Source organism: Homo sapiens, chromosome 18, assembly GCF_000001405.40.
Source record: "Homo sapiens chromosome 18, GRCh38.p14 Primary Assembly".
NCBI classification, from domain to species: Eukaryota; Metazoa; Chordata; class Mammalia; order Primates; family Hominidae; genus Homo; species Homo sapiens.
The window spans coordinates 70,504,834-70,513,430 of NC_000018.10; the positions used below are offsets into that span (position 1 = coordinate 70,504,834).

Here is an 8,597-nt window from a genome sequence, read left to right on the forward strand (position 1 = left end):
ACTAGCTTGACTGAGACCTCCGTTCCATGTCTTTTAAGTTGTGATTTTCCTGCTGCACTTCGTCTTGCATATACAATCTTATAATTGCTTTCAAAATCTCCATTCCATTAAAAATAAAATTTTTGTGGAACCTTATTCCTTTACTATTATGCTAATGAGGTCTGAGAAATGGGGGCAATAAAAACATGTTCTTAGTCTTGTGTCCGAAGTATAAAATGTCACATGTAAAGTTTATATCCAAGGTATATTACATCTTATTTTGGTGAAATCACAATTTAGAAAGGATTATGATTGGGCTGAATTTTAAAAGTAGTTTGAGACTTTTGTGCGTGAATCAGTGTACAGAATCAGCTGTCAATGGATCCCTGACAAAATCCTTGTTTAATTTTTTGTCACTTACGGGAGACTTTTTTTTTCCCCATGGGAGCTGTTCTAGAACAGCACTGTCCAATAGCACCTTCAGTACTTGGAAATGTTCTATTATTTGCACTATACACTATGGTATCCATGAGCCACATGTGGGTTTTGAGCACTTGAAATGTGGCTAGTGCTACTGAGGGAATGGATTTTATATTTTGTTCAATTTTAACTAAATTAATGTGAATAACCACATGTGGCTGGTAGCACCTTGCTGGACAGGCAGTTCTAGATCAATGGACTGTCATTCATCATCAGGATTTATCTATGTGGATTCTTTTCTATAGCATGAGACATCTCTTTTTTTTAAAAAAAAGTATTTTTTTTTAATCCCACCAAGTATTAGTTCTTTACAGGCAGGAACAGGGTAGTTCATGCTCATTCTTGCATTTTCAGTGCCTAAAACAGTGCCTGGCACTTAGTAGATGATCAAAAGCATTTGTTGGCCAAGTGAATAGAGAATAGAGAAAGCAAACAAGATTTTGAGTGTGTAGATATGACCTTTATCAGGCCATTTCTAGGTAGAGATTTCAGACAAGGATTCAGCTGTAAAGAATAGATGCTTCATTTTCCACTTCAAAATGTCATGTAACAAGCACTTTTATGTTATCATGGAAACACTTCTTATGTTGCATGTGAACCATTTATTCTACTTGGATGCACATTTGCCATTTTATTTGTGCTATTTTTTTACTTAGCTAAACCCTCTGTGTTCTTTCTGATTCAGCTTAGGTGACACCAATGTCCAGGAAGAATTCTTCAGCTCTTCACTCCCACTTCACCCCACCCAGCCCCATGCTTCTCTGGACCTCATTTAAAAGCATCTTCTCTGTTGTGTTAGCTACTCTCACCTTGCATGGTGGTTTCACGTTCACATCTTCTCCATGATACTGTGAACTTTTTCGAGGCAACACCATATCTTAATTAGCTCTGGTACTTAGCATAATACCAGAGAGATGTGGGCATGTGACCAGCTCTTTTCCTCATATTAATTGCTAGGCTGGACTGTTGGCTATAGTATAATACTAATGGCCTACAAGGTAAATACATTTAATAGACAAAGTGTTTGTGTTTGCTCTTCTCTTATTTTAAATGTAGTTATCAGAGACTGAGAAAAAGGACTTATCTTTCTTGGTATTTAATGTATATTTGATATTATTTAGAAATATATATAAATACCAATAATTCATAACTAATAAATTGCATTAATCTTCATCTATGTATTTACTAAACATGATAGAGTTTTTCTCAAGATAGCCTTATTTTGTCTCTGCATTTTCTCTTTTTTGGAGGCAAGAGCAGAACGCTAAATTGCACTTTCCGTCTTGGTAGAAGGCTGTGCTTGATAATTGTGGAGCTGACATGAAAGGCAGCTGCAGTTCTGAAGGGACTGCTGTGTTTTAGATAGGGTTAGGATAGGTGCCATCTTCTCAAGTGAGGTTTGCATATCTGTGAGGCACATTTCAGCAAAGCAAGCAAATGCTGATAAACCGTCCTCTTAGAGCAGGAAAGAGGCAAACAACTCAGTGTTTTTTAAAAAAATGAGACATGTAGAGAGACACGGTCCTGATAACAAAAGAGCCCAGGATGTTTCATGTCTTTCTGGGAGAGAGGAGGGGAAGAAAGACACAGAAACCCAGGATCTCATCCTAACAGCTGTAAGAGGATTAAATACCATGGCCTGAGGAACTGTTTCAGTGCACAGTATCCTGGAGCTGCTGAGGCCACAGGAAGGGAAACAGCTTAGAACCATTTAGGCAGAGCTTTAGGGGGCAGAAGCACAGGACTGACGGAAGGATGGCATGCAGACCCGAGTTGTCTCTACCTCAGCCCAGAGCTCCATAGATGTCAGTGCTCCTTTTTCTGGGCTGCTGGGTGATCTGGACGCCACCCATGGTGGCTGTAGGTAGCCAACCTTGACAGCACATGATGATTCTCCCTGAAAGGCAGTAACCCTCAGGCTTCTTCTCCATGGGACTTGGAAGGAGATGAAAGAGCAATGCCCTGTCTGGTCCCCTTGTTGACACACTGGATTATAGCAGAAATACATAAAATTTTATACCAAGGCTCAGGTGAATTTTAGGATGATATTGTAGCATGGGACAGGTGTAGGCAGACCTTTTCTGTAAAGGTGCAGGTATTAGCTTGTTAGGGCCACCATAACAAAATACCACAGGCTGCATGACTTAAACACTCACAGTTCTGCAGACTGGAAGTCCAAGATCAAGGTGCCGGCAGCATTGCATTCCTCCACAGCCTCTCTCCTTGGTTTGCAGACCGATGCCTTCTCGCTGTGTCCTCGTGGCCTTTCCTCTGCCTGCCCACATGTGTGTTCTAATCTCCTCTTCTTATAGAGATAACAGTCATATTGGATGAGGCCACTCATGGCCTCATTTAACCTAATTATCTCTTTAAAGGCCTATCTTCAAATACAGTCACAGTCTGAGGTACTGGGGGTTAGGACTTCAACATATGAATTTTGGAGGGACACAATTCAGTCCATATTAAGATATATCCTAAATATTTTAAGCTTTTACAGCTTCTTATCCCTGTCATTTAGTGTGAAAGATGCCCAGGCAGTACATAAATGAATGAATGTGGCTGTGTTCCAATAAAACTTTATTTATGGACACATTTAAATTTCATACAATTTTCACACATCATGAAATCTTATTTTTTTTCCAGCCATTTAAAAATGTGAAAACCTTTCTTAGCTCATAGGCTGCCTAAAATCAGTCCGCAGACGGGATTTATCAACCCCTGGAATAGAAATGCTGCTGCAACCCTGTCCAGTGCAATGTTGTGTGTGGCAGCCAATCCTCACAGTCTCTTTCAACCTGAGTGGATTTATGTGGGTTTATGTGTTCTGACAAGTATTTCATAGTGAACTCAGCCTGCTATGGAGACGTTTTGCTCTTTGCTGGGATACCCTTGGACATAGTGAGTAAAGCCATCCATCATCATGAGAGTATTGACGATGTCCTCCCTGCCTGGTGCCAAGGATGGAAAATATATCACACACATTCTACCAGATTCTGGGTTGAATGGCCCCTAATAGGTTGCCTATTCAAACAGCTCTTTGGGATGAGGAGTCACAGGATTGCCTTCAGTTTTAACATCCCCCGCCATTTCAGACTTGAATTAATTCCAATGACATAGGGCAGTGCCTAGGGGAAGAAATCAATAGTTCCTATAATCCTTTTACAGGCATTTCATTAACCAGCACCAGTTGTGGCTCATCCAGGAGCAGGGACCTCAGGCCTTTCAAAAAGCCCTGCTGTGCCACCCAAGGAGGGCCTGCATTTTCTGTCTCCCTAGTTTGGGGTCTTTCAATTGAGCTTATGGCTGGTTCTCCAGCCCTAACGAAGAAGAGGTGATCCATCTCAGGATGAATCCTTAACTTTGGCCATGCCCCTCATTGAAGAGTGTCCACCTTCCTGGGTATGCTTTGTAGACATTGCCCTCTTTCTGGCCTGGTAACATAAGCTGGAGTTGGGTGGGTAGTGCATTCAGAGAGCCTTGGCATTGTGGCCAGGTCTGGGTTTGTGTACAGTACCAATGTTTGTCAGCATGGCCATTTATTCCTGCTTGGTGGCACCCATTCAGCACTGGTGAGCCCATCTGTAAGCAGGTGATCTTCAGTCTAAGCCTGAGAAGGTACCTTGTCTATATACATGCTCTGAACTTCATATCAATAGCATTCTGAATCAGTTCTGGAACTTATTCTAACCAAAGAGTTTAATCAGTTTCCGTATCTCTCTTTGAATCCATTATGACCCCCACACCCTCAGAGAAGATTAAGAAGACCCCAAAAACATCTTAAGGTGAAGTATCTGGAACAGATCAGCAAAAGCCAGAATAAAATGCCTGCTGAGAGCTTTGCAGCATGATCACAGTTATCACTCCACCAGTTCTTGCAGTATGCGGGAAGCCAGACCTCTATTTTTGTCCCAGAAATGTCTGTATCACAGGGCATTCTGGCATAGAGTAGCTTGAAGTCCAAATCTTGAGTGATTTGGCCGGGCTAAACTTGAGTGGTTTGGTCTTATAACACTGAGTGAAACTACAAAATGGTTTAGCTCTCTGAAACTGGTAGTAACAGTCAGAGACATTTTTAGAGTTATTTCCCCTTGCTAGGGGACCTAGAAGCCATGGATTGGGAAGGGAGAGGCAACATGGCCCTAGGGCGAGGCACTGCCTGGCTTTCCCTGCACAAAGCTGGGTGCAGACTTTGTGGAGGCATGCTCTGCAACAGGAGCTAGAGGCAGAGGTGGAGTGACAGGATTCGCAATGGAGCACAAGAGGCGTCCAATACAATTATCCTGCCCTCTGTACCACTGAGATCCACTCAAGTAAGCATGACACATTTCTCCTCGAAGTAGTGGCCAGCTACACTCTCCAAAAATGACTACTACTATGGGTTAGCAATAGAAGAAACAGTAGTACTCCCTGCTTTAGCTGCTCTTGAGACCGTAATTGGGAACACCACCCATTCTATCTTCTCTCATTATTGGTTAACATTTTAGCTGGTCGGCCCTACAGAGTTAAGGGGATTCAAGCCTTGTCCCAGGGGCTGGGGTTGGGGATGTGTTTTCTTCTTTTCTGTTGCGAGAACTGGTGGCTGCAAAGTCCTATTCACTGTTAAAAGCAGCAAGGGCAGCCCAGCCTTCTTTTTTGTCTCTTAATTCACCAACATAAGGAGATACGGTGACCAGGCGGGAGCTGTAGCTTTTGATTCTATGGAAGGTTACTGTGCTCTCTTATGTAAGTGATCATCATGCTGGGAACCAAGACCTTCAATCAAGCAAACCTTAAGGTTGCAGAGCTGGGAAGCATAAATTACTCGAGTGGATCTGCAGGATGGGTGGGTAGAAGGATCAAACCTGCTTCATGCACTTGGTTCCCAGGGGTTTAACCACTGTGGACACAGCATCATACATCAGTATATTAGGGTTCTCCAGAAAACAGAACTGATAGGATCTATAGATATACATATATAATATACAAGAGGTGATTTATTATGGGATTTGGCTCATGTAAATATGAAGACCCAGAAGTCCTAAGATATGCTGTCTACAAGCTGGACAACCAGGAAAGCCAGTGGTACAATTCAGTCTGAGTCTAAAGACCTGAGAATTGGCGGCAGGGGGCGAGGTGGTGGGTTGCTGGAGTAAGTCCTGCAGTTCATAGTCCTGAGAACTGGGAGTTCTAATATCCAAGGGCAGGAGAAGACAGATGTTTCAAGAAGAGAGAGCAAATTCACCCTTCATTATTTTGTTTTATCTGGCCCCTCAATGTATTGGATGATACACACTCACAATGGTGAGGGCAGATCTTCTTTACTCAGTTTACTGATTCGCATGCTAATCTCTTCTGGAAACACCCTCGCAGGCATACCCAGAAATAATGTTTTATCAGCTATCAGGTATCCCTTAGCCCAGACAAGTTGTCACATAAAATTAATCATCACAATCAGCCTTAGGTTTAGTGCAGTTACTGCACCCTCCAGGACAATGCCTGTGTAGTAAACTCCCACTGGCAGACTTGCTGGATCAGAATATCCTGGGAGGACTGTGATACTCCTAACTTATTCCAAATTCACCCAAATTCCACTTGGAATTTCACTGAAAATTCCAAAATCACCCAAGGAGCAATAAGCTGATGCATTCAACCCACCAATACCTAACTTTGATAGTTGTTAGGGTCATGGGAAAATTGCTGCTTGTAGGAAGATGGTAGCCACTTGTCCCCTTCATCAAGCAGTACAGATCAAGTTCTTGGGTTCTTACTGTGCCTGTGGCCTTACTTGTCTGAGGACGGGGATTGTTTGAGTTGTCTAGATGAGTTGAGCCTAATCTTGTAAGGGGTTGAGGTGGCTCACCCAAAACCCCACACACATTTCCCTGTGGGGCCCACGCTGCCTCTATATGGCATCCTGCCCACCACAACAGCAGAAACCCACATGTTTGCTGAGATGTGTCCTTGCCCTTGATGTTGAAGTTGGTGCTTTACAATCCTCCATGCCTATAGATTTCATTGGCCATACCCCAGTCTTTTATTGCCATGACTCACCTTGACATCTGTGAACAAAACTTGATCCTGAACTTGAGACAAGGACTCTCTGGGCTTACCCTTGTCCTTAAGTGTGTATTACCTTTGTCGCTGTCTTTCCTTTTTCATATATCAGCTGCATTTCCACTGCAAACTAGAAGGTTCTTCAGGTCATCATGAAACATGAGCTTACTAAGCAGGAATCTCTATAGCCTATCCCTCAGCCTGGCCTGGGTCTCTGGATACATTGTTTGGTTCCTTTTTCTTCCACTTGATAAATAATTTCTACAACCTCATTATATTTTTAGGAACTTTCTAAACTCCACTGACCTTCCTCTACCCTGTCCTTTTGGGAAAGTAGTGGGAAACTTGGCATGCACTTCCTTGTCACTTTGTACATCACTAAAGATCTACTCCATGGCAGTCATGTAGAGGCCAGTGCATTTGAGACCATACACAGATGCCACCACTAGTCCTTTTGAACACAGTGGGTTCTCTGTGCTTCTGTCGTTGGACCTTGACTTTCCTACTGCATCTCCTTGGGGGAGTACAGACAAAGTTGAGTTTCCTCATCCCTCGATGCAGACATTCTATGCCAGGTATACAGTCTAAGTTTGTAATAGTTAATAGAAGCCACTATTTTTTGCTGGCCACTTGTCTGATGTCATCACCTCTGTATCCCAGCACAGCTACTGGACCAGCCACACCATACCCTCACAAGAATGGCCATGGGTCTGGCTCCTCATTTGAGAACTGGCCTGACTTCTATAGACACTTCTTATCAGAGAATTAGGACTTAGATACTTATTGCCTTCTTTCGTCTCCCTGCCCATGTGCCACCTCCTTTGCAAGACTCCAAATCATGAACCCTTCCTTAGAAAAACTCTATTTTTCCACATAGGAAAGTGTCACCCTATGTTAGACTGGCACCTGGCAAATTATTTAAAACTGAAGCCAGAATCAAGAAGGAACACTATGAGAATAACTTCTAGGTGCTAAAATGTTTTATCTCTAGCTGGGTTGCCTGGACTACATATTCTTAGGTTGCATCTGGCTTATTCATTAATTAAAACCTGATCATGTTAATGAGTGTCAGGAGTTTGGGCAGGAGAAAGACAATTAATTCTGTTTTGTCCTTGTTACATCTGATACCTGGGAGATAACTGATCCATGATTTGGAAATCACAAAAGAGACAATAATATTTAGATTTGGGAACCATCAATGTGTATGTGGTAATCAATAACATAAGGGTGGATGAAAGCACTCAAAGTAGAATACAGAAAGAGTATTGGACTGCAAGCAGAACCCTGGAATGCCAACACTAAGATATGTGCAAGAAGGAACTGTCAGAAAGCAGAAAGAAATAGTTTTAGAGTTCAGAAACCTGAGAAAGGACAAATTTCAAGGGATGAAAAATAAGTAAAGCCAGGCATGGTGGCGTGTGCCTGTTATCTCAGCTACTTGGGAGGCTGAGGCAGAAGGATCACTTGATCCCAGGAGTTCTGGGCTGTAGTGCGCTATGCTGGCTGCCCATGCTAAGTCTGGCATCAATATGGTGATTTCCTGCAAGTGGGGACCACCTGGTTGCCTCAGGAGGGGTGAACTGGCCCAGGTCAGAAACGGAGCAGGTCAAAACTCCCACGCTGAAGTGGGATTGCATCTGTGAATAGCCAGTGCACTCCAGCCTGGACAACACCTCATCTCTTAAAAAAAAAATAAGTCAAATGTAGCAGGAAAGTTGCATGAGATAACAGCTCAAAAGTGTTCATTTGGCGGTGACTGACGTCTGAGAGCAATTTCATGGGAATGGTAGAAATTGAAGCTAGATTTGAGAGAATGAAGCAGTGGATGGGAGATGGGGAATGTGGGCTGATTTTTAAAATACGTTTCATTGAGAAGGGATGATAAGAGAAAGGGGAGCGGTGAAGGAGGTAATACGCAGGGGAAGAGGGCATGACAATGTGAGGTCACATTGCCATAAATGTGAGGTGTGTCATAAATGTGAGGTGTTGGAAAGAGATGGAGGATAATAGAAATAACCCAGTCCAAGAGAAAAAGAAATGAGTGGGATTAAGAGGACTCATAGGTGAACTGGCTTGGACAGGAAGGGGACACTTATTTTCTGAAT

At 42.8% G+C, this 8,597-nt stretch overlaps 1 pseudogene; it reads left to right on the forward strand.

Annotated features, from left to right (window-relative positions):
* Positions 7,894 to 8,164, forward strand: RN7SL795P (RNA, 7SL, cytoplasmic 795, pseudogene; annotated as a pseudogene).